The sequence below is a fragment of the Homo sapiens genome, chromosome 14 (genome assembly GCF_000001405.40).
Source record: "Homo sapiens chromosome 14, GRCh38.p14 Primary Assembly".
In the NCBI taxonomy this organism is placed as follows: domain Eukaryota; kingdom Metazoa; phylum Chordata; class Mammalia; order Primates; family Hominidae; genus Homo; species Homo sapiens.
The window spans coordinates 19,803,770-19,830,253 of record NC_000014.9 but is presented as its reverse complement, the minus strand read 5'-3'; the positions used below and the strand labels follow the sequence as shown (position 1 = coordinate 19,830,253).

At 36.7% G+C, this 26,484-nt stretch overlaps 1 protein-coding gene across 1 annotated transcript; it reads right to left on the bottom strand.

The window, feature by feature from the left end:
- On the bottom strand, nucleotides 1-26,484 carry OR4N2 (olfactory receptor family 4 subfamily N member 2). The gene is made up of 2 exons (NM_001004723.3): nucleotides 26,410-26,484; nucleotides 1-2,814 (listed from the first exon to the last, which is right to left on the bottom strand). The coding sequence occupies exon 2, from the start codon at nucleotides 2,803-2,805 to the stop codon at nucleotides 1,882-1,884; it is 924 nt and encodes a 307-aa protein (NP_001004723.1). The 5' UTR covers nucleotides 2,806-2,814; nucleotides 26,410-26,484; the 3' UTR covers nucleotides 1-1,881.

The following is a 26,484-nucleotide window of genomic DNA, read 5'->3' as shown; positions in this document are numbered from 1 at the left end:
GACTCATGAAGTGACATGGACAGGGGAAAAGGTGGCAAGAAGGTTTTATTTAGGAGGGAAGAAATGTGGTTACACGCTAAAGGTTACACCCAATAGGGAGGACAAAGTTCATGTTATAGGTGAGGGAAAGGAGAGTTACCAGAGTAATTGCCTTTAGTAGAGAGGAGGGGGATGGAATCTGGTGCACAGGTGGAAGGGTTTACTTCTGTAGGAGCAGGATCAGGTCACTCAGTCTCAGGAGAAGTTAAAGGAAACTTAATCACAGATGCAGGTTGTATAGTGGTAGTGATGGGAGATTAAGGAATTCTCACCTGCTACCTTTCTCACTAAAACAGGAAGCAACGCAATAAACAGAGTGAGAATAGAGAAGGATTATTTGAAGATTCAGACCACTTTTTCTATAGTCTGAATATTTTTACCATGTACAAAATTTATATTCCTAAGTATAAACTTTGGCGATTATCAAAAATAAAATATTTTAAAACTCAATTTTTGACCCCCTTGCATTTGGGGTTCCAGATGTTTTGGATGCTGCCCATTTAATGTACTCATTTGAGATTTGAATATATAGTCAGCTAGTTAAAGGGATGCAGTAGGAGAGGCTTCTGTTATACTAGGGGCGATTTGTTAGGTCCAAAGTGATTCCAGATCATCAACTTGATCCCAGGCACATGGCTAAAATTGTAGTGTTTTTCAGACAAACAGATGGCTAAGATTGTAGCAAGAACAACTTCCCTGACAACATTGGTCACCTGTGTTAGTCTGTAAGGCATCTCTGGACGTCCAGCCTATAGTCTTCTCTTTTAGACTTTCCAGTGATTTTGTGAACACCTAACTCTCGATATTAAATGATGTTTTGTTTAAAATAGCTAGAATGGTTTCTTGTCTCTGACACAAAATCCTGATTGCTCTACCAAAAGACTGTTGTTATTAAACTTAGAGTGAAATCAATTGGCAATAAGGTCAAACATACAGCTAAAAGTCATAAAAATTTGCTAGGAGTAATCATGAAGCTCTAGAAAAAAAAAGTAAAATGTTTTTGTGATCTTTTTCAGTAAAAGTAACCAGCTTTCTTTTGCCACTCTCTGCTTATTTATGTAAGAAAAATTGGTAGTTTAATATCTTTCAAAGTGCACTTACAAATATAATATTTTCCTCTTAATGATATTTTTCAAGTCTTTGATATCCGCATAGAATCTTGAGTTTACAGTGCTAAGTTGTTTATGACCCTTCAGTAGAGGAATCACTCTTTTGCTTAAAGCCACAGAATGGCTTCTTATTGTAATTGTAATAAAATGAAAACTCATATTTACTATGTAGACCGTATGTTTTTGACACTACCAGTATCTCCAACTTTAATCATTTTCATATTAAATTACTATATTCCGGGTAACATGGACTTTATTGTATTCTTCAAATATACCAAGTTCATCATCATCTTTGAGTTTTTGCACTACCTGTGCCCTCCGTCTAGATTACTATAACCACAAATGTTTGCATGTTTGCCTTCTTCAGTTTATCCAGATATCATCCAAAACGTCAGCTCTTCAAGGTCTTTTTTGATTATTAAACACAAATTGGTTACTCCCAATCCAGAGTCACAATTTATCATTTCACTTTTCTTTTTAGTTTTTACAGAGCAGTATCTCTTCCTGAAACTATGCTGTTTATTTTCTACCTTAATGGTGGTCTATTTTTACTAGGTTGTATCTCTTGGAGAGCAGATGGACCTTATCTGCCTCAGTAATTTCTTTTTTCAGTTCCCAGAATAGTCCTGACAAATGGGAGGTACTCAGTGATTGCAGTACTTGGAAATAAACAAATCAATTTCAGATAAAATTCTACAGTCTATTTTTATTCTTTTTTTTTTTGCGCCCTTTTTCAGGCTATGTGCTTATTAAACACCTTTTTCATGGAAGCTTTCACTTCCTGGTTGCGAAGGGTATAAATGACAGGATTCAACAAAGGAAAAATCACTGTGTGGAAGAGAGAAACCACCTTGTCAGCTGGGAAAGCCCTGAAGGGGCGCGTGTAGATGAAGATGCCAGGTCCAAACATGAAGAATATAACAATGATATGGGTGATGCACGTGGACATGGCCTTGTTTTTTGCCTCAGAAGAAGACCCTCGTATGCGACAAAGAATGACTGCATAGGAGGCCAGAAGCCCCAGAAAGCACAGGAGTGTCATCAGGCCACTGTTGAAGACCATCAGAAGCTCCACCACAAATGTGTCGGTGCAGGCCAGCTTGATGACCTGTGGGACATCACAGAAGAAGTTGTCCAGCTGGTTTGGGCCACAAAAAGGCAAGCGGAGGATGAGGACCACCTGGATAATGGAGTGGACAAAACCCCCAAGCCACAGAGCCAACATCATTGCATAGCAGGTTCTAGGGTTCATGACAGTAGGATAGTGCAGAGGCCGGCAGATGGCGATGTAGCGGTCAAAGGCCATCACAACAAGGAGTAATCCCTCCCCTCCTCCAAGGAAGTGCAAGAAAAAGAGCTGAGTGATGCAGCCTCTGTAGGAGATTATCTTCTTCGCAGAGAGGAAGTCCACCAACATCCGGGGAGCCACAATGAAGGAGTAGGATGCATCCAGGAAGGCCAAGTTGCCCAGAAAGAAATAGAGGGGGGCTGTGAGCCCAGGGTCTGACTTTATGGTGAAAATAATGAGAAAATTTCCAGGGAGGATGATGAAGTAGAATATTAAAACTAGCACAAAGACCAGGAGCTGAATATCTTGAGACTGGGTCAGACCAAGGAGGATGAATTCTCTTATCACTGTTCTGTTCTCGCTTTCCATTTCCCTGGCCTGCAGTACATTAAGAAGCAGAATTAATTGTTATTACTATGTCTTCCAACTAGATACTAGTTATACAGCTAAAAAATATTTGGCACATGCAGTACTTCAGCTAAAAACAACATTTCCCATCCCTCTCCTATTCTGGGGAAACTCCATTACCTTAATTTCTCCAAATTTAAAATGAAAAATGAAAACACAATATGGTTCTCAAAGCTACAGTTTTATTCCCATTCAACCATGTGCTTCTACAGAATCATTTTCCATGTTAGGGGTCTGGTATCCTCCACGTTGGGATTCCTACATTCTTAAATCATGGAAGTTTCCTAATGGAGACACAACCTAACTTCAAATCTGAAGGTCTTTGAGTTTTTGTGGATATACTATGCTTGAGGGTTAGCTCTTTTCTTGGGATTAGACCCTTTTTCTCCTTGTCCACACCACCCCAAAATTTTCCTAGACATTTTCTTCCCTCAATTCCTGTGTAATTCCCAGTTCCTAGCTGGTAACTCTCTTCCTTACCCTCTGTCTTATCATCTAATTTACTTCTTATTATACTCCTTTTGGTCTGATATCCTTGTATACTCTTTTCCCAGACTGTTCACGAGAATCCCAAGCTATAGCTCCACTTTTGACCTAACACAGGCACAGTGCTCCAGCTGTAACTCTGTTTGAGCACCACTCCTGTGGCCACTCCACACCTGCATGCAGCTTATTTAGCACTTTTTGAGTTTCAAATATTAATAAACTCACAACACATTTCTTTCTCTGTTCCCAGTGTGACACCCAAGATACAGCCTTTTAACAAACAATATGCTACAATATAAAATTTGCAAGTATAAAACTTTAAAATATCATTATCTCAACTCATAAAGTCATAGCATAGATACACTGTAAGTAGCCATAAAGATACTGTAGTGTTATTCTTCCATTTCAAAGATGAGAAATAACCTGTAGTTATATTACTTAAGTTTAGAGTGAGTTTTATTTTTTGCTCTGCTTGATAAGTAGTAGGATAATGCAAGTGTATACTCTTCAGTTTAAATAGATAAAGAATTTTTTAATCACAGCTTCAATGAATGAATGTTCTTTTTGTGCATTTGGATAACTAAAAATAATATTGTTAGTCTAAAATCACTCCCATATTGCTTTGATTTGTAAGTTCAACCTTGTTTAAATAAAAAGAAAAACAATGTGCATTGTGAAGAAAATTCATATTTAAAATTCAGATTGTTTTCATGGGGTATACTCATTCCAGAAGGTGCACATGATAATCCACTGAAGTATAGAAAGAACATAGTAATTTATCTATATTTAGTCGGTGTATAACATTTTATATGTATCACTACATTTCGTTGTTTTCTAAATTCACTTTTTAATATTTATAATGGATAACATAGTACAATGGTTTATATATACTTTATAAATAAATATGCATACATTTAAGGTTATATATTCAAAAAATGTCTTAGGGGAATAGATTTTTTAAGTTTGAAAATTACTGGCCTACAACAAAATACAAACTGTAATATAAAAGGATATTCTTAATATGATTTAACTAAACAGTGTATTTGTTTTAAATAAGTGCTCTAGCGGCCGGGCACGATGACTCATGCCTGTAATCCCAGCACTTTGGGAGGCCTAGGTGGGTGGATCACGAGCTCAGGAGATCGAGAACATCTTGGCTAACACGGTGAAACCCTATCTCTACTAAAAAAATACAAAAAAATTAGCTGGACGTGGTGGTGGTTGCCTGTAGTCCCAGCTACTCAGGAGGCTGAGGCAGGAGAATGGTGTGAACCCGGGAGGCAGAGCTTTCAGTGAGCCGAGATCGCGCCACTGCACTCCAGCCTGGGCGACAGAGCGAGACTCCGTCTCAAAATAAATAAATAAATAAATAAATAAATAAATAAATAAATAAATAAGTGCTCTAGCACATGGGGTGCGGAAGGAAGGGAAAATATTTCTTTGACAGAAAATGCTACTGCAACAGTACCTAGAAAAGAAAGACAAGAAGATATAGGATGAGGGAAGAAAGAAGAGAGAAATAGAAAATCAAAACAAACAAGCAAACAAACACCAAAAGACAGACAGCACATCTATATAGTGTCATCTTAGGGTACGTATTTTAAGAAGCATTAAAACTATCTGCTTTATGTATCCCTAGAATGGAATAGAGTGGTTAATACAGAAATTTCTGGGTGTTACTGGCAGCCACATGTGGAATTTATGAAAGTCATACTTAGACACATCATCATATATACATATGCAAATACCACATGAACACACACGTATGCACACAAATACATACAAACACACACAAAATTGTAATAGGAAAAAATATTTTGTAGTTCCTTCAAATGAGCTTTTCTGCTCATGTCTTAACCTTTCCCCCTTTGCCAGCCATTTGTCTCAACATTTATTCTACTATCTGCCTATATAAAAATTTCCTTAAATCAAGAGCCCCTTCTACAGTCGACGCTTGAACAATGCAGGAGTTAAGGGGGCAGACCCCCTGTGCAATAAAAAATTAGCACATACCTTGATTCCCTAAAAACTTAGCTTCTAATGATTATTGTTGATCTGAAGTTTTGCTGGTAACATAGACAGTTGAATAACAAATATTTTTATGTTTTATGTATTATATACTATAATCCTACAATAAACTAAGCTACAGAAAATAAAATATAACAAAATCATAAGGAAAGGAAGATATAAATACTGTTCATTAAGTGGAAATGCATCATCATAAAGTTCATATCGTTGTTGTCTTCCCACTGAGTAGGCTGAGGAGGAGAAGGAAAAGGAAGGGTTAGTTTTTCTGTGTCAGGGGTGGCAGAGGTGGAAGAAAATCCACATATAAGTGGACCTGTGTGGTTCAAACCCATGTTTTTCTGGGGTCAACTGTACTTACTCATGTGTTTTATGTATCCCACATGCTAACATACAGTGAGGTATTTCTTGATGTGTTAGCATTTAACAATATCCCTGAGACATTTGAGGATTTCTGAAGGACTTTGAAATTGAAGGTTATAAGCTCTTCCATTCTGCCTGTGTCCCAGCCTCACTGTTATTTTTCTACTGTTTCTTAACAGATGGGATTCTGTACTACTTGACTTCTTGATGAACTTTCTTCCCTGTCCCATTTCCATCTTTCAATTATCTCTACCTTCTCTAAATGGTGGTTGGAATAGACGCAGAGTCTAATCAGATGAGCATTCCTCTAAGCAAAATAAAATAAGTTTCTGCCAAAAAAAAAATCCATATATGATGGCATCAGCAGAGTAAAGTGTTCTATTTTAGGCAAATTAGTAGAGAAAGTTCTGTCAAAAGTCTGTACCATACCCTCCTCACTGTATCTCTAATCCTTCTTGCCATTTCAGCTAATTCGTGCATTGATCAGTTTCTGGCCATGATGACACACTACAGAAATAGGGAAGATGAAGGAGAAGGGTTCACCACATTTGCAGGGTGGAGACACAGAAACATCTCCAGGCAACTCTGTGTGTGCATGCCTGGAGTCTGAGTGTGGTCAGATGAGCTCCTGGAGCCAAGTGTTTAGAGATCCTATGTGCTTACTCAACCTCCTTCCTTATTTTTCTTTTTCTCTCTTTCTTTATTCATCAATAAGCAGTTTATTTTCTTTTTTTTTTTCTGGTTGTGATTTCTTTTCCCTGTTAATTTGTTGCCTGTTCTTTTCCCCTTCTCTGTTTCTTTCTGGCTCTATTTATTTTGTTCTCTTTAAATATTGTTCTTTATTATTTTTTCTTTCTTCTCCCTTACATTTATCTATGTTTTTTCACTCTGATATGTTTTCACTCTCTCCACTTTTCGTCTATGTTCATGGCTACTCCATTCTACCCCACACCTGTCTTGCTAATACATCTAAAAACAAAACAAAACAAAAACCAGAAAATCTTATTGTCATTTTCTTTCCCAACAAGAGTGAGAAATGTGTGTGCTTCCCACCATCTTCCATTTTAAATATTAAGTCTACAAAATGAAAATATATAATTCACTCTTCAGTAATAACCATTTACTTTTAAGTGGTATTCTTGCAGTTGGCCAACGCTGAGTCACTTATCAACTACTTCATACTTGTAAGTGAACCTGATAAAAATGAGATGATTCACCTTTTTTTTAAAAAAAAGAAGTTAATTTCATTAGTAGCATCCTAATGAAATAAATATATTGAATACAAATTTCAAAAATAGGGATGTAATATTAGTAGTAATAGCTCACTAATGATGCAAGGTTAGTAAATTATTTGAGTATGAAATAATAAGTTTTATATTTTCTAAAAAGTGTGAATCAGGCTGAGAACATAATAGAAAATTTAATTTATGCTGATGCTGCTGATGAGTATATAAAGCACTAAACAAATGTATAGATTCTTAGCCAGAAAATTTATTCATCAATCAAATGAGATGGCCAGATTAAATGGCCTCTAAATTCCATTTGAATGCCAGTTTTTTAGGCAATGTAATAACATAAAAGGATCCCTGGTTTGGGAATCATTTATCTGACTCTCATGCCTTGAATGAGCAATTAACTTATTGTGTGATTCTGGGAAAGTCACTTAGCTTTCAGAAGCCTGAGTTGTCATCTACCAAATAGTTTAATGTATTGACTCTTTGGGTCTGATGGGGGTAACATGAGGATCAAATGAGGTGATGATGGTATTAATATGTAATTCATTCAAGTACACTTCAACCAAAGTTAATCCTGAAAATATTTAGATGTTAAAAGTAGTTATATTGAATGGACAGAATGCTGCTAGATCTTTTGTCAATGTCTTTGAGTAACCCCTGGGATAATGGTAGTTGCATAAATCTGAAAAGTTAATAGAGAGAAGTTGTGGAGGGTCAGTAATGCCTTCATGTAAAATTGCCAGTACAGCTAGTGGTTTGTATATCAAGCTTTTTTTTGGTTCTACAACTTTCTGTCAAAATTCTAAGAATGAATGATATAACCACATGCAACAGAAGAAACTTTCATACCTGCTGAATGTGAAAATGAAGAGGTCAAGGACTTATCTTCTGCAAAATCATAAAATCTGTTAAGTTTTTCTCTGGAGCTTTTAGCCTACCATTTCTGCATCCTCCTCCCTTTTCTTCCATATTTAATAAGGAAAATGATACATATCAGTCATTTGTATGATTTTTGGTTTTTAACACCAGATGTCAATTCTCTTGAGTCTATGGAAAATTATAATAGAATTAAAGGTTTTGTTTGCCAGTAAAGTAATCCCAAGCATTAAATGCAGATGGAGATCTATTAGGAGAGAGAGTACATAGTGCCCCACTGCTGAATTTAGACCTTAGCCTGTGGCTATTCCTGCTAATACTCTGACCTGTCTATTCAACTGCAATCTAAGATATCAGGTGAACAAGTAAAATAGTTGCAATATTTTTTCTATTGTCCCTTTCTTCTTGTTTCTTGTATATATATGAAGAGCTCCAGAAATTTAAGCCTTCAGGGATCTTATGTTACTCTCACAAAGTAGGCATCCTCCCTCTCCTAGTAAGACTAACCAGTTTTGCCATTGTTCATAAATGTTCATTGCCACATGAGGAACCTTAGATTTTAAAATCTCTCTATTGTAATGGAGAAAGTTCTTTTGAGATTTGAGACTACCATGACCCACTGAATGCTTCCAAAGGGAGTTATTAGGCAAGCTATATTAGTTATCAAATAAATAAGGCAAAGAAAAATACCAGAGTTTGCAAGAACTAAATTTTTTTAAATGTGCTACATAATACCAAGCTGACTTACTTTCTAGTTCTAAAACAAAAATTCTATCGTGAGAAAGACAGAACCCTATTCAGAAGCATATTTTTTAGTCCAGAAATAAATAGAAGTTTGAGAGAAGTAAATTTACGTGTTATAATAAAATTCAAAAGGAGAAAAATATTAAATAAATGATGAGAGATTATTGCTTTGTACCACGAAAGCAAGCAGGGGTAGGATGAGGCAAAAAATACATATATACATATATATATATATGACTAGACTCAAATTTTTCAATTAAAGGCTTCACCAAACTTTAGACGGTGGCTGGCAAGATGGCCAAATAAGAGCAACTCTGGTCTGCAACTCCCAGCAAGACCAACGCAGAAGGTTACTCACAGAAGATTTCTGCATTTCCAACTGAGGTACCCAGCTCATCTCATTGGGACTGGTTAGACAGTGGGTGCAGCCCACGGAGGGTAAGCCAAAGCAGGGTGGGGCATCACATCACCGGGGAAGTGGAAGGGTTCAGGGAACTCCCTCCCCAGCCAAGGGAAGCCGTGAGAGACTGTGCCGAGAGGAAAGGTGCATTCTGATTCAGATACTAGGCTTTTCCCATGGTTTTTGCAACCTGCAGACCAGGAGATTCCCTCAGGTGCCTACACCACCAGGGCCTTGGGTTTCAAGCACAAAACTAGGCAGCCATTTGGGCAGACACTGAGGTAGATGCAGGAGTTTTTTTTCATACCCCAGTGGCACCTGGAATGCCAGCAAGATAGAACTATTCACTCCCCTGGAAATGGGGCTGAAGCCAGGGATTCAAGTGGTCTATCTCAGTGGATCCCACCCCCATGGAGCCCAGCAAGCTAAGATCCACTGGCTTGAAATTCTTGCTGCCAGCACAGCACTCTGAAGTTCACCTGGGACACTCGAGCTTGGTTGGGGTAGGGGCATCTGCCATTACTGAGGCTTGAGTAGGCACTTTTCCCTTCACAGTGTAAATAAAGCCACCAGGAAGTTTGAACTGGGCAGAGCCCCCCACAACCCAGCAAAGCAGCTATAGCCAGACTGCTTCTCTAGATTTCTCCTCTCTGGGCAGGGTATCTCTGAAAGAAAGGCAGCGTCCCCAGTCAGGGGCTTATAGATAAAAGTCCCATCTCCCTGGGACAGAGCACCTGGGGGGAAGGGCGGCTGTGGGCACAGCTTCAGCAGACTTAAATGTTCCTGCCTGCCATCTCTGAAGGGAGCAGCAGATCTCCCACACAGCTAATGCAGTGTTTAGAGGAAAATTTATAGCACTAAATGCCAACAGCTTAAAGCAGGAAAGATCTAAAATCGACCCTCTGACATTACAATGAAAAGAACTAGAGAATTAAGAGCAGACAAATTCAAAAGCTAGCAGAAGACAAGAAATAACTAAGATCAGAGCAGAACTGAAGGAGATAGAGACACAAAAAACTCTTCAAAAAATCAATGAATCCAGGAGATCCAGCAGATCTCCCAGCAAAGCGCTTGAACTCTGCTAAGGGACAGACTGCCTCCTCAAGTGGCTCCCTGATGCCTGTGCCTCCTGACTGGGAGACACCTCCTAGCAGGGGTCAACAGACACCTCATACAGGAGATCTCCAGCTGGCATCTGGCTGGTGCCCCTCTGGGACAAAGCTTCCAGAAGAAGGAACAGGCAGTAATCTTTGCTGTTCTGCAGCATTTGCTGATGACACCCAGGAAAACAGGGTCTGGAGTGGACTTCCAGCAAACTCCAGCAGACCTGCAGCAGAGGGGCCTGACTGTTAGAAGGAAAACTAACAAACAGAAAGAAATAGCATCAGCATCAACAAAAAGGATGTCCACCCAAAAACCCCAACTGAAGGTCACCAACATCAAAGAACAAAGTTAGATAGGTCCATAAAGATGAGGAAAAACCAGAGCAAAAAGGCTGAAAATTCCAAAAACCAGAACACCTCTTCTCCAAAGGATCACAACTCCTTGCCAGCAAGGGAACAAAACTGGATGGAGAATGAGTTTGACAAGTTGACAGAAGTAGGCTTCCAAAGAAGGGTAGTAACAAACTCCTCTGAGCTAAAGGAGCATGTTCTAACCCAATGCAAGGAAGCTAAGAACCTTGAAAAAGGTTAGAGGAATTGATAACTAGAATAACCACTTTAGAAAAGAACATAAATAACCTGATGGAGCTGAAAAACACAGCACAAGAACTTCATGAAGCATACGCAAGTATCAATAGCCAAATCGATGGAGCGGAAGAAAGGATACCAGGGATTGAAGATCAACTTAATGAAATAAAGCGTGACGACAAGATTGGAGAAAAAAGATTGAAAAGGAACGAACAAATCCTCCAAGAAATATGGGACTATGTGAAAAGACCAAACCTACGTTTGATTGGTGTACCTGAAAGTGACGGGGAGAATAGAACCAAGTTGGAAAACACTCTTCAGGATATTATCCAGGAGAACTTCCCCAACCTAGCAAGACAGGCCAACATTAAAATTCAGGAAATACAGAGAACACCACAAAGATACTCCCCGAGAAGAGCAACCCCAAGAAACATAATTGTCAGATTCACCAAGGTTGAAATGAAGGAAAAAATGTTAAGGTCAGCCAGAAAGAAAGGTCAAGTAGTTACCCACAAAGGGAAGCCCATCAGACTAACAGTGGATCTCTCTGCAGAAACCCTACAAGCCAGAAAGAAGTGGGGGCCAATATTCAACATTCTTAAAGAAAAGAATTTTCAAACCAGAATTTAATATCCAGCCAAACTAAGCTTCATAAGCGAAGGAGAAAGAAAATCCTTTACAGATAAGAAAATACTAACAGATTTTTGTCACCACCAGGCCTGCCTTACAAGAGCTCCAGAAGGAAGCACTAAATATGGAAAGAAAAACTGGTACCAGCCACTGCAAAAACATACCAAATTGTAAAGACCATTGAAGCTATGAAGAAACTGCATTAACCAACAGGCAAAATAACCAGATAACATCATAATTACAGGATCAAATTCACACATAACAATGTTAACCTTAAATGTAAATGGGTTAAGTCCCCAGTTAGAATACACAGACTGGTAAATTGGATAGAGACTCAAGACCCATTGGTGTGCTGTATTCAGGAGACCCATCTCACGTGCAAAGACACACATAGGCTCAAAATGAAGGGATGGAGGAAAATTTACCAAGCATATTGAAAGCCAAAAAAAAGCAGCGGTTGCAATCCTAGTCTCTGATAAAACAGACTTTAAACCAACAAAGATCAAAAAAGACAAAGAAGGGCATTACATAATGGTAAAGGGATCAATGCAACAAGAAAAGCTAACTATCCCAAATATGTATGCACCTAATACAGGAGCACTCATATTCATAAAGCAAGTCCTTAGAGACATACAAAGAGACTTACATTCCCACACAATAATAGTGGGAGATTTTAACACCCCACTGTCAATATTAGACAGATCAATGAAAATTAACAAGGATATTCAGGACTTGAACTCATCTCTGGACCAAGCAGACCTAATAGACATCTACAAAACTCTCCACCCCAAATCAACAGAATATATATTCTTCTCAGCACCACATCACACTTATTATAAAATTGACCACATACTTGGAAGTAAAGCACTCCTCAGCAAATGCAAAAGAACAGAAATCATAACAAATAGTCTCTCAGACCACAGTGCAATCAAATTAGAACTCAGGATTAAGAAACTCACTCAAAATCGCACAACACATGGAAACTGAACAACCTGCTCCTGAATGACTACTGGGTAAATAACGAAATTTAGGCAGAAATAAATAAGTTCTTTGAAACCAATGAGAACAAAGACACAATGTACCAGAATCTCTGGGACACAGCTAATGCAGTGTTTAGAGGAAAATTTATAGCACTAAATGCCAACAGCTTAAAGCAGGAAAGATCTAAAATTGACACCCTAACATTACAATTAAAAGAACTAGAGAAGTAAGAGCAGACAAATTCAAAAGCTAGCAGAAGACAAGAAATAACTAAGATCAGAGCAGAACTGAAGGAGATAGAGACACAAAAAACCCTTCAAAAAATCAGTGAATCCAGGAGCTGGTTTTTTGAAAACATTAACAAAATAAATAGACCACTAACCAGACTAATGAAGAAAAGAAAGAAGAATCAAATAGACACAATAGAAAATGATAAAGGGGTATCACCACTGATCCCACAGAATTACAAATTACCATCAGAGAATACTACAAACACCTCTACACAAATAAACTAGAAAATCTACAAGAAATGGATAAATTCCTGGGCACATACACCCTCCCAAGACTGAACCAGGAAGAAGTCAAATCCCTGAATAGACAAATAACAAGTTTTGAAATCGAGGCAGTAATTAATAGCCTACCAACCAAAAAAAGTCCAGGACCAGACAGATTCACAGCCAAATTCTACCAGAGGTACAAAGAGGAGCTGGTACCATTCCTTCAGAAACTATTACAAACAATAGAAAAAGAGGGACTCCTCCCTAACTCATTTTATGAGGCCAGCATCATCCTGATACCAAAACCTGGCAGAGACACACATAAAAAAGAAAATTTCAGATCAATATCCCTGATGAACATCGATGCAAAAATCCTCAATAAAATACTGGCAAACCGAATCCAGCAGCACATCAAAAAGCTTATCCACCATGATCAACTCAGCTTCATCCCTGGGATGCAAGGCTGGTTCAACATACCCAATCAGTAAACATAATCCATCACATAAACAGAACCAGTGAAAAACACCACATCATTATCTCAATAGATGCAGAAAAGGCCTTCGATAAAATTCACCCCTTCAAGCTAAAAACTCTAAATAAACTAAGTATTGATGGAACGTATCTGAAAATAATAAGAGCTATTTATGACACACCCACAGCCAATATCATACCGAATGGGCAAAAACTGGAAGCATTCTCTTTGAAAACCAGCACAAGACAAGGATGCCCTTTCTCACCATCCTTATTCAACACAGTATTGGAAGTTCTGGCCAGGGCAATCAGGGAAGAGAAAGAAATAAAGCGTATTCAAACAGGAAGAGAGGGAGGTAAATTGTCAAAGTTTGCAGATGACATGATTGTATATTTAGAAAATCCCATCTTCTTAGCCCAAAATCTCCTTCAGCTGATAAGCAACTTCAGCAAAGTCTCGGGATACAAAATCAATGTGCAAAAATTACAAACATTCCTATACACCATTAATAGATAAACAGCCAAATCATGAGTTAACTCCCATTCACAATTGCTACAAAGAGAATAAAATACCTAGGAATACAACTAACAAGGGATATGAAGGACCTCTTCAAGGAGAATTACAAACCACCGCTCAAGGAAAAAGAGAGGACACAAATGAATGGAAAAACATTCTGTGCTCATGGATAGGAAGAATCAATATCATGAAAATGGCCATATTGCCCAAAGTAATTTACAGATTCAATGCTATCCCCATCAAGCTACCACTGACTTTCTTCACAGAATTAGAAAAAACGACTTTAAATTTCATATGGAACAAAAAAAGAGCCTGTATAGCCAAGACAATCCTAAGCAAAAAGAACAAATCTGGAGGCATCACACTACCTGACTTCACACTATACTACAAGGCCGCAGTAACCAAAACAGCATAGTACTGGTACCAAAACAGATCTATAGACCAATGGAACAGGAAAGAGGCCTTAGAAATAATGCCACACGTCTACAACCATCTGATCTTTAACAAGCCTGACAAAAGCAAGCAATGGGAAAAGGATTCCCTATTTAATAAATGGTGTTATGAAAACTGGCTTAGACATATGTAGAAAACTGAAACTGAACCCCTTCCTTACACCTTATACAAAATTAACTCAAGATGGACTAAAGGCTTAAACGGAAAACCTAAAACCATAAAAACCCTAAAAGAAAACCTAGCCAATACCATTCAGGACATAGGCATGGGCAAAGACTTCATGACTAAAACACCAAAAGCAATGGCAACAAAATCCAAAATTGACAAATGAGATCTAATTAAACTGAAGAGCTTCTGCACAGAAAAAAAACAAAAAAAAAAAAAACAAAAAAAAACCTCTCATCAGAGTGGACAGTCAACCTACAGAATGGGAGGAAATTTTTGCAATCTATCCATCTGACAAAGGGCTAATATCCAGCATCTACAGGGAACTTAAACAAATTTACAAGAAAAAAACAAACAACCCCATCAAAAAGTGAGCAAAGGATATGAACAGACACTTCTCAAAAGAAGACATTTATGCAGCCAACAAACATATGAAAAAAAAGCTCATCATCACTGGTCATTAGAGAAATGCAAATCAAAACCACAATGAGATACCATCTCATGCCAGTTAGAATGGTGATCATTAAAAGGTCAGGAAACAACAGATGCTGGAGAGGATGTGGAGAAATAGGAACGCTTTTACACTGTTGGTGGAAGGGTAAATTAGTTCAACCATTGTGGAAGACAGTGTAGCGATTCCTCAAGGATGTAGAACCAGAAATACCATTTGACCCAGCAATCCCATTACTGGGTATATACCCAAAGAATTATAAATCATTCTACTATAAAGACACATGCACATGTATGTTTACTGCGGCACTGTTCACAATAGCAAAGACTTGGAACCAACCCAAATGCCCATCAATCATAGACTGGATAAAGAAAATGGGTCACATATACATTATGGAATACTATGCAGCCATAAAACAGGATGAGTTCATGTCATTTGCAGGGACATGGATGAAGCTGGAAACCATCATTCTCAGCAAACTAACACAGGAACAGAAAACCAAACACCACATGTTCTCACTCTTAAGTGGGAGTTGAACAATGAGAACACAGGGAAACAGCGAGGGGAATATCCCACATGGGGGCCTGTCACAGGGTGGGGGGCTAGGGGAAGGATAGCATTAGGAGAAATACCTAATGTAGGTGACAGGTTGATGGGTGCAGCAAGCCACCATGGCACATATTTACCTATGTAACAAACCTGCATATTCTACACATGTATCCCAGAACTTAAAGTATAATTTTTAAAAAAGACTTCACCAATATTATTTATTTTTCCTGTTGCCTCAGGTTCCAACATGGCTCAACATGGCAGTTGCTGATCCTGCCTTTGCTTAAAATTTGGTACTTTGTTTATCACAAATTTTAAAATTAATTTTGATTTCTCAAAATATTGATTAAAATGTTTATCTCTACTATTGAGTTTTTGGGCACGCCTTTAAATTTTGCATGCGAGATAAGCACCTTACTCAGTAGCAGGATGTTGACGGTGATAAGGACATTAGCAAAGGAAATATTAAAAAGCTCATGAATACTGTTGCATAATTATTCTTAGAGAAAATAGTTTCTTGGTATAGGATAGAACAATTGCTAAAGGGAAGGTGACCTCCTACATAGCATGAAAAGATGCATCATGATCTTGGTATTTGTAATTTGTTCACTTTCACTCTGCTCAACTAAAACAAGGATGAAAAACATTTTTCCATTAAAGATTATTAATTTTAAAAATTAATTGAGTCAGAAAAAATAAATACAAATTTATTTTATTAATTCTATTTTAAAATTATTTTAATCTTTTCTTTGGCTTTAGAGAAAACACTGAGTTTATGGGTCACTTTACAAGTGAAATAAGAACACAGATTTGGGGGTAATAAACATAATTTATCACCAAATATATTTGTTCTAATTTATTTTACATTTCAAAAACAAAGTGTAAGAGTAGAAAAAGGAAAGAAAGAAGAAAAGAGAGAGAGAGAAGTACAGAAAAATTTACAATAATCAAAATAAAGATCAAGAGAAAAGGGAAAAGAAGACTAGCAGAGACATAAATGGAAAGATAGTTGTATGACTTAAAAAAAAAAAAAAGGTGAAGAAACAGAGAGATACTAGTCCACAAGGAGAGCAAGACCATCCAGAGGCGAAATTCCTTATCCAAGGAATTCAGAAGTAATTAGACATCCCTATTATGTAAAGCTGGCATCTGGTATGAGATTTCTTTTCCAAAAATTTGTGAGTAACTAGAATTTCTATACATCTCTGGAATGCATGTATTCTAAACTCATTGTGCAACTCTTGCTGACATCAAGGCACCAAAATGTCTATAAATGTAATTGTTTACCATGACCTATGTGGCTAATATGGTAAAAATTACCCTTAAGCTCCCACTTTAAGGTCCATAAATACCCTAAGGAAAAATCTACTGCAGTGGTGTACTCAGTCCTCTCTGGCTGAGAAGCCCTGCTGCACTCCTCTGCAGCGTTCTTTCCAGCTAATACAACTTTCCTTTTCAAATCTATACAGTTGTTGGTAAATTCTTCTTACTACCCACAAGCCAACCACACTCCACTGCCTGGGCTGTGACAGCTCGCATGGCATTCCATATAAATGCACAGTCTACAAATCCATATAACCACAAAAAGAAAACCATGATAAAGAGAGCTGCACAGAGGAAAATAGAGAAAGGAAGCAAAATACATGAGGTTAGATACGTTCTTAAGTGGAATAACAACCCCATCTTGGAGTAGGTTAGTCTTGCCACCAAAACTTTTAAAAATATGATTTTTTTCATAATTGTGCATATAATCCAGGATCTTACTCACCTCTTAATGTTCACTCTAATTCATAAGATAAAAGTAATCTGAAGATCTAAAATAGTCCTCAAAATGGAGACTTTTTAACCCTTCTAGGAAAGTTTTATCACCTTGGATAGATTTTTTCCTCTAGATAATCTTGAATTAATTTTACAATGAAAAGTATTACTGGTATTTTATTAAATTATATTCAATTTATGCATTGACATGTATATATTCAATAATATTGTTTTTATCCAACAAAAGAGTTTGTCTCTGAATTTATTCATTTTTTTCCTCAAAAAATATTACCACTTTTTATATGAACAGATACTTCCTAAAAGAAGACATGTTTACGGCCAATAAGCACGTGAAAAAAAATGCTCAGCTTGACTATTCATTAGAGAAATGCAAATCAAAACCACAATGAGATACCATCTCACACCAGTCAGAAGGACTATTATTAAAAAGTCAAAAAATGGCTGGGCACGGTGGCTCACGCCTGTCATCCCAGCACTTTGGGAGGCCGAGGTGGGCGGATCACGAAGTCAGGAGACCGAGACCATTCTGGCTAACACGGTGAAACCTCGTCTCTACTGAAAAATACAAAAAACAAACAAACAAACAAACAAACAAAAAAATTATCTCGGCTTGGTGGCGGGTGCCTGTAGTCCCAGCTACTCGGGAGGCTGAGGCAGGAGAATGGCGTGAACTCGGGAGGTGGAGTTTGCAGTGAGCCGAGATTGCGCCACTGTCGAGATCCAGCCTGGGCGACAGAGCGAGACTCTGTCTCAAAAAAAAAAAAAAAGAAAAGAAAAGAAAAGAAAAAAAAAAAGAAAAGTCAAAAAATAACAGAAAATTCAAAGAGAATTTTCTTTTCTTTTTTTACTTCTATGGCATGACTTCTAATATTTTTATACCCTTAACACTTTATATAAAAAAATCAGTGGAAGAAGAATAATAACATTTAAGTTTACTTTGTTTCGTTTTTCAGAGTTAATAGTTGTTTCACATTCTCACCAAGATTTGGTTTTTAAATGTTGATCTTGTATCCTGCAACCCTTGATAAATTTCCTTGTAAATTCTAGTTCTTTAAAGATACCATAGTATGCTCTACACATATATTTCTTCTATGAATAAATAGATTTTTATTTTTTTCTTCCTAATATTAATACCTTTAAAAAACAACTTTCTTTCAATGGTCAGCACATGTTGAATAGAAGTGGTGAGAGCATGTATACTTGCATTCTTCCTAATCTTAAGGGGGCATGCATTCAAGATTTCATCATATGTTATAATGGTTGCTATAGGTTTTTCATAATTGCCCTTTATTGGACTGGAGAGGCTCCCTTTCATTTCCAATCTACTTAGAATTTTTTACAGACATGAATGGATGTTAAAACAAATGATTTTCTGCCTCTTGGCGAGATCATATCATTTTTCCACCTTCATTCAGTGAATATAGCAATTAACTTGATTGATTTTCAAATGTTAAGCCAACTATCGTTTTTGGGATAAATCCCATCTGGTCACAACTTTTTATGTATTGTCATGTTCGGATTGCTAATACTTTGTTTTAAAATTTTATGTGTAGCCAGGCAGGGTGGCTCACGCCTATAGTCCCAGCACTTTGGGGGGCCTAGGAGGGCGGATCACGAGGTCAGGAGATTGAGACCATCCTGGCTAACACGGTGAAACCCCATCTCTACTAAAAATACAAAAAATTAGCCAGGCGTGGTGGTGGGCGCCTGTAGTATCAGCTATTTGGGAGGCTGAGGCAGGAGAATGGCATTAACCCAGGAGGCAGAACTTGCAGTGAGCCGAGATCGCACCACTGCACTCCAGCCTGGGTGACAGAGTGAGACTCCATCTCAAAAAAATAAAAATAAAATAAAATCATATGTGTATGTTTTTGAGAAATCATCTTTCCTTGTAATGCAAAATCCTTGCAATGCAAAATCCTGTGTCAGATTTTGGTATCAGGGTAATACTGAGCTCATAAAGAAAGTTGGGAAATGGTATCCTTTCTTCTATTTTATGAATGAGTTTAGATACAATTGGCATTACCCGTTTCTTACATATTTTAGAAAACTCCCTGGTTGAGCCATATGAACCTGGAATTTTCTTAGTATAAAGTTTTCAGCTCTACATTCATTTCCTTTTAAAATATATTCCTATTTAGATTTTGTATATCTTGATGTGCCAGTTTTGGCGAATGTGTTTTGTCATATTGTCATTCTTTATATTCCCTTATTATCCCTTCAGTTTCTTTAGGACTAATAGTGCTTCTCTTGTTATTCTTAATATTGGTAGTTTGTGTGTTTCTCTTTTAAAATTCATCATTCTACTATGGGTTTATCAATTTTGGTAATCATTTCAAAATACCAATTTCTGACTTTTAAAATTTTTTCTAATGTTTGTCTACTTTATATTTCATTAATTTTGACTCTTTTCCTTTTATCTCTTTCTTGCAAAGGACATGATCTCATTGTTTTTATGGCTACATAGTATTCCATTGTGTCTATGTACCACATTTTCTTTATACAGTTTACCATTGATGGCAACTTTGCTATTGAGAATAGTACTGTGTTGAACATATGTGTGCATATGTCTTTATGGTAAAATGATTTATATTCCTTTGGATATGTACTCAATAATGAGATTGCTAGGTTAAATGATAATTCCCTTTTAAGTTCTTTGAGAAATTGCCATGCTGCTTTCCACAATGGCTGAACTAATTTACATTCCCACCAGCAGTGTATAAGTGTTCCCTCTTCTCTGAAACCTCACTAGCATGTTATTTTTTGACTTTTTAATAATAATCATTCTCACTGCTGTGAGTTGGTATCTCGTTGTGGTTTTGATGTGCATTTATCTAATGATTAGCGATGTCGAACATTTTTTCATATGCTTCTTGGCTGCATGTAGGTCTTTGAAAAGCATTTGTTCATGTCCTTTGCCCAATTTTTAAAGAGATTGTTTTTTGCTCGATAATTTAAGTTCCTTGTAGATTCTGGATATTAGACCTTTGTTGGGCGCATAGTTTGCAAATATTTTATCCCATTTTGTAGCTTGTCTGTTGACTCTGTTGACAGTTCATTCTGCTCTGCAGAAGCTCTTTAGTTTACTTAGGTCTCATTTGTCAATTTCTGTTTTTTTGTGGTCAATGTTTCTGGTGTCTTCACCATGAAATCTTAGCCAGGGCCTATTTGAGAATGGAATTTCCTAGGTTATCTTCTGGGGTTTTTACAGTTTGGGGTTTTACATTTAATTCTCCAATCCATGTTGAATTGATTTTTGTATATGGTATAAGAAGGGGTTACATTTCAGTCTTTTGCATGTGGCTTGCCCATTATCCCAGCACCATTTATTGAATAGAAAGTCCTTTCCCTATTGCTTGTTTTTATCCTCTTTGTGAAAGTTCAGATAGTTATAGGTGTGCAGCACTATTTCTGGCCTCTCATTATGTTCCATTGGTTTATGTGTCTGTTTTTGTACCAGTACCATCCTGTTTTGGTTACTGTAGCCTTATAGTATAGTTTGAGGTTGGGTAATGTGATGCCTCCAGCTTTGTTCTTTTTTGCTTAGGATTGCCTTATTTGCCCATTTTTAAGTGGATTTTTTGTTCGTTTGTTTGTTGCTTTGTTTAAGTTCCTTATAGTTTCTGGATATTAGACCTTTGTTTGGAATCATAGCTTGTGAATATTTTCTCCCATTCTGTAGGTTACTCTATTGATAGTTTCTTTTGCTGTGCAGAAGCTCTTTTGTTTAATTAGGCCCGACTTGTCAACTCTGGTTTTTGTTGCAATTACCTTTGAGGACTCAGCCAAAAATTCTCTGCCAAGACTGTGGCTGAGAAGAGTATTTCCTAGGTTTTCTTCTAGGATTTTTATAGGCTGAGGTCTTAAATTTAAATCTTTAATCGATTTTGAGTTGATTTTTGTATATGGTGAAAAATAAGGGTCAAGTTTCATTTTTTTTTTTTGTATCTGGCTAGCCAGTTATCCCAGCACCATTTATTGAATAGAGAGACCTGAGAGTTAGCTTGGTTGAATGTTCTTAGGCTACAGACTCAAGCCCACAACTTTCCTCAGTAGGGGCTTCTAAACAGAGTCTTTTCTCCATTGCTTGTTTCTGTCAGCCTTGTTGAAGAGCAGATGGTTGTAAGTGCATGGATTTATTTCTGGGTTTTCTATTCTGTTCTATGGGTCAATGTGTCTGTTTCTGTACCAGTAGCATGCTGTTTTGGTTACAGTGGCCTTATAGTTTGAATAGTGTGATGCCTCTAGTTTCATTTTTTTTACTTTTTTTTTTCAATATTTCTGGGTTACAGAGTAGGTGCATATGTTCATGTGGTACATTTTGCATGGGATTGTTTTGACTATTCAGGCTTTTTTGGCTCTGTATGAATTTTAGATCTTTTTTCTAATTCTGAGAAGAATGGTGTTGGTAGTGAGATAGAAATACCATTAAACTGTAGACTGCTTTGGGCAGTGTGGCCATTTTAACAACATTGATTCTTGTAATCTATTAGTATGGAATTTTTTTCCATTCATTTCTGTCATCTCTGATTTCTGTCAGCAGTGTTTTGCCATTAATTTTGTAGAGTTTTCTGGTTAACTGTATTCCAAGGGATTTAATTTTCTTTGTTGCTATTGTAAATGGGATTGTGTCCTTGATTTCACTCTCAGCCTGGACATTATTGATGTATGGAAATGCTACTGATTTTTGTAGAGTGATTTCATGTCCTGAAACCTTCCTAAAACTGTATATCAGTTCTAGTTGCTTTTTTGTGAAAGTTAGGGTTTTCTAAGTATATAATTATATCATCAGTGAATAGAAATAGTTTGACTTCTTATTTTTCTATTTGGATGTCTTTTATTTCTTTCTTTTGCATAATTGCTATGGCTAGGACTTCAAGTCCTATATTGAAGAAGAGTGGTAAGAATGTACATCTTTGTCCTTTTCCAGTTCTTAAGGGGAATACTTCCAGCTTTTGCCATTCAGTATCATGTTGGCTGTGGGTCTGTCATAGATGGCTGTTATTATTTTGAGGTGTATTCCTTCAAAATCTAGTCTGTTAAGGGTTTTTATCATGAAGGGATGTTGGATGTTATTGAAAGCTTTTTCTGCATCTATTGAGATGATCATGTGGTTTTTGTCTCTTATTATGTTTATGTGATGAATCACATTTATTGATTTGCATACATTGAATAAGCCTTACATCTCAGGAATAGTACCTACTTGATCACAGTGCGTTAACTTTTTGATGTGCCAATGGATTCAATTAGCTAACATTTTGTTGATGATATTTGCATCTGTATTCATCAGGGATATTGGCCTGATGATTTGTTTTTTGTTCTGTCCCTGCCAGGTTTTGGTATCAGGATGATACTGGCTTCATAGAATGAGTTAGGGAGGAGCTCCTCCTCCTCAATTTTTTGGAATAGTTTCAATAAAATTGGTAGAGTTCTTTTTTTTAAAATCTGGTAGAATTCAGCTGTGAATCTATCTGGCCCAGGACTTACTTTGGTTCATAGGCTTTTTTTATTATTGATTCTGTTTCACAGCTTGATGTTGGTCTAATCAGGGTTTCAATCTCTTCCAGGGATTCAATCTTGGGAGATTGTGTGTTTCCATGAATTTATCCATTTCTTCTAGATTTTCTAATTTGTATGCATAGAGTTGCTTATAGTATTCTTTGAGTATCTTTTGTATTTCTGTGGGATCAGTTGCAACATCATTTTTATTTCTGATTGTACTCATTTGGGTCTTCTGCTTTTTTTCTATGTTAATCTAGCTAGCAATCTACCAGTTTTGTTTATTTTTATTTTGAAGGACCAATTATTGGTTTCACTGACCTTTTGTACGTATTTTTGCATCTCAATTTCATTAAGTTTCTCTCTGTTTGTAGTTATATCTGTTATTCTGCTAGCTTTGAGCTTTTTTTTTTTCTAGTTCCTTTAGGTGCAAAGTTGGATTATTAAATTCAGATTTTTCTAACTTCTTGATGAAGGTATTTAATGCTATAATCTTTCCTCTTATCTTATTTACTTATTTATTTAAAAAATATTTATTTCCTGCTTTAGCTTCATTTCAGAGATTTTGGTTAGTTGTGTCCCTGTTTTAATTTCAAAGAATTTTTTTGATTTTTGCCTAATTTCAGTGTGCACCCATGAGTTATTCAGGAGCAAGTTGTTTACTTTCCATGAATTTGTGTACTTTTGAGAGATCTTCTTGATGTTTATTTCTAATTTTATTGCACTGTGGTTCAAGAATGTGCCTGGGATGATTTCAGTGTTTTTGAATGCATTGAGACTTGCTTTCTGATCAAGCATGTGGTTGATCTTACAATATGTTCCATGTGCAGATGAGAATGAATATTCCATGGTTGTTGGGTGGAGTGTTCTGTAGATGTTTATTAGGTCCAATTAGTCAAGTGTCAAATTTAAGTCCAGAATTTCTTTGTTAGTGTTCTGCCTTAATGATACCATCAGTGGAGCATTGAAGTCTCCCAGTATTATTGTAGGATTGTCTAAGTCTTTTGGTAGGCCAAGAAAAACTTGTTTTATGAGTCTGGGTGCTCCAATGTTCAGTGTATATACATTTAGGATAAAGTCTTCTTGTTGAATTGAACCCTTTATCATTATGTAATGCCTTTCTTTGTCCTTGGTAATTGTTGTTGGCTTGTTTCATATGCTATAAGAATAGTGACCCCTACTATTTTTGTTTGTTTGTTTTTTGTTTACATGACAAATCTTTCTGCATCCCTTTACTTTGACCCTGTGGGTTTCATTACATATAGATTGGTCTCTTCAAGACAACAGACAGTGGTGTCTTGCCTTTTTATCCAACTTACCACTCTATGCCTTTTAAGTAGGGCATTTAGATAACTTACATTTAAGATTAATATTGATATGTCAGATATTGATCCTGTCATCATGCTGTTAGCTGGATATTTTATAGACTTGACTGTGTAGTGCTTCATAGTGTCTATGGGCTATGTGCTTAAGCGTGTTTTTGTGGCAGCAGATGCTGTTCTTTTGTTCACATGTTTAGCACTCCCTTAAGGACCTGTTGTAAGGCTAGCTAAGTTGAAATGTATTACCTTGGCATTTTATTTTCTGAGAAGGATTTTATTTTTCCTTCACTTATGAAGCTAAGTTTGGGTGGGATATGAAATTCTTGGTTGGAATTTATTTTCTTTAAGAATACTAAAAATAGGCCCCCAATTTTTTCTGGCTTATAAAGGTTCTGCTGAAAGTTCTGCTGCTAGCCTGATGGGGTTCCCTTCGTACATAACCTGACCTTTCTTTCTAGATCCCTTTTCTTTTGCATTAACTGTGGTGAATCTGAAGATTATGTGCCTTGTACATCTCGTACGATATCTAGCCAGGGTTCTCTCTATTTCTTGGATTTGCATATCATCCTCTCTAGCAAGATTAGGAAGATTTTCATGGACTATATATTCGAATTTATTTTCCGAGTTGTTTATTCTCTGTCCTTCTCTCTCAGTAATGGTAATGAGTTGTAGATTTGGTCTCTTTATGTAATCTTTCTCAGAAGTTTTGTTCACTTTTAAAATTGTTTTTGCTTTATTTTTGTCTCACAGTGTTAATTCAAAGAACCGGTCTTTGAGCTCAGAGATATTTTCCTTAGCTTGGTCTATTTTGCTGTTAATATTTCCAACTGTATTATGAAGTTCTTCTAGTGAATTTTTAACTCTAGAGTTTCACTTTGGTTCTTTCTTAAAGTGGTTATTTTGTCTTTCAGCTCTTCTGTCATTTTGCTGGATTCCATGGATTGGATTTCAAATTTGTCCTGAATCTCAATGAGCTTCCATGACATCCAGATCCTGAATTCTATGTCTGTCATTTCAGTAATTTATTATGGGTAAGGAATCATTGCTGGGAAACACACAATCTAACCTTGAATGACCTTGAATGTAAATGAGTTAAATGCTTCAATTAAAAGGCATAGAGTGGCAAGTCGGATAAAGAAGCAAGACCCAACTGTATTCTCTCTACAAGAGACCCATCTCACATGCAATGACATCCAGGGGCTCAAAATAAAGGGATGGAGAAAAAATAGACCAAGCAAAAAGAAAACAGAAAAAAGCAAATGGTCTGATTCTAATTCCAGACAAAATAGACTATAAACCAATAATAATCGAAAAAGACAAAGAAGGGTATTACATGAAGGTAAAGGGTTAAACTCAACAAGAAGAACTAACAATCCTAAGAATATATACATCCAACACAGAAGTACCCAGACTTATAAAGGAAGTTCTTAGAGACCTTTGAAGAGACTTTAATAACCACACAATACTACTGGGAGACTTCAACACCCCACTGACAGTATTAGAGCATTGAGATAGAAAATGAACAAAGAGATTCGGGACTGAGCTCGACATTTGACAAAATGGTCCTAACAGACATCTACAGTACTCTCCACCCAAGAACATTAGAATATACATTCTTCTCATCTGCATATGGCACATACTCTAAAATCAGCCACACAATCGATCATAAAACAATTTTCAGCAAATTCAAAAAATCCAAAATCATACAAACCACACTTTCTCAGATTACAATGCAATAAACATTGAAATCAATACAATAAAATACATCAAAAGCATATGTGAAAATTAACCAACCTTCTCCTGAATGACTTTTGGGTAAACAACGAAATTCAGGCAGAAGTCAAGAAATTCTTTGAAACTAATGAGAACAAACATACTACATATCAAAATCCCTGGGGCACATATAAAGCAGTATTAAGAGGTAAGTTTATATCACTAAAGAAAAAACTACATCAGAAGATTGGAAAGATTTCAAATTAACATCCTAACATCACACCGAGAGAAACTAGAGAAACAAAAGCAAATCAGTCCCAAAGCTAGCAAGATAAAGGAAACAACTGAAATCAGAGCTGAACTGAAAGAAATTGAGATGCAAAAACCCATACAAAAGATTAACAAATCCAGGTTTTGTTTCTTCAGAATAACACATCAGATTGATAGAGCATTGGCTAGACTAATAAAGCAAAAAAGAGAAGAGAGAAAAATAAACACAGTCAGAAATGACAAAGGGAACATTACCACCAACCCCAAAGAAATATTTTTTAAAAACCCTCAGAGACTACTATGAACAACTCTATGCACACAAACTAGAAGAAATTAATAAATTATTAGAAACATACAACCTCCTAAGATTGAACTAGGAAGAAATTGAAACCCTGAACAGACTAATAACAAGTTCCAAGATTGTGTTAGTAATAAAAAGCCTACCAACCAGAAAAAGCCCAGGATCACAGGAATTCACAGCTGAGTTCTACCAGATGCATAAAGAAGAGCTAGTACCTTTCCT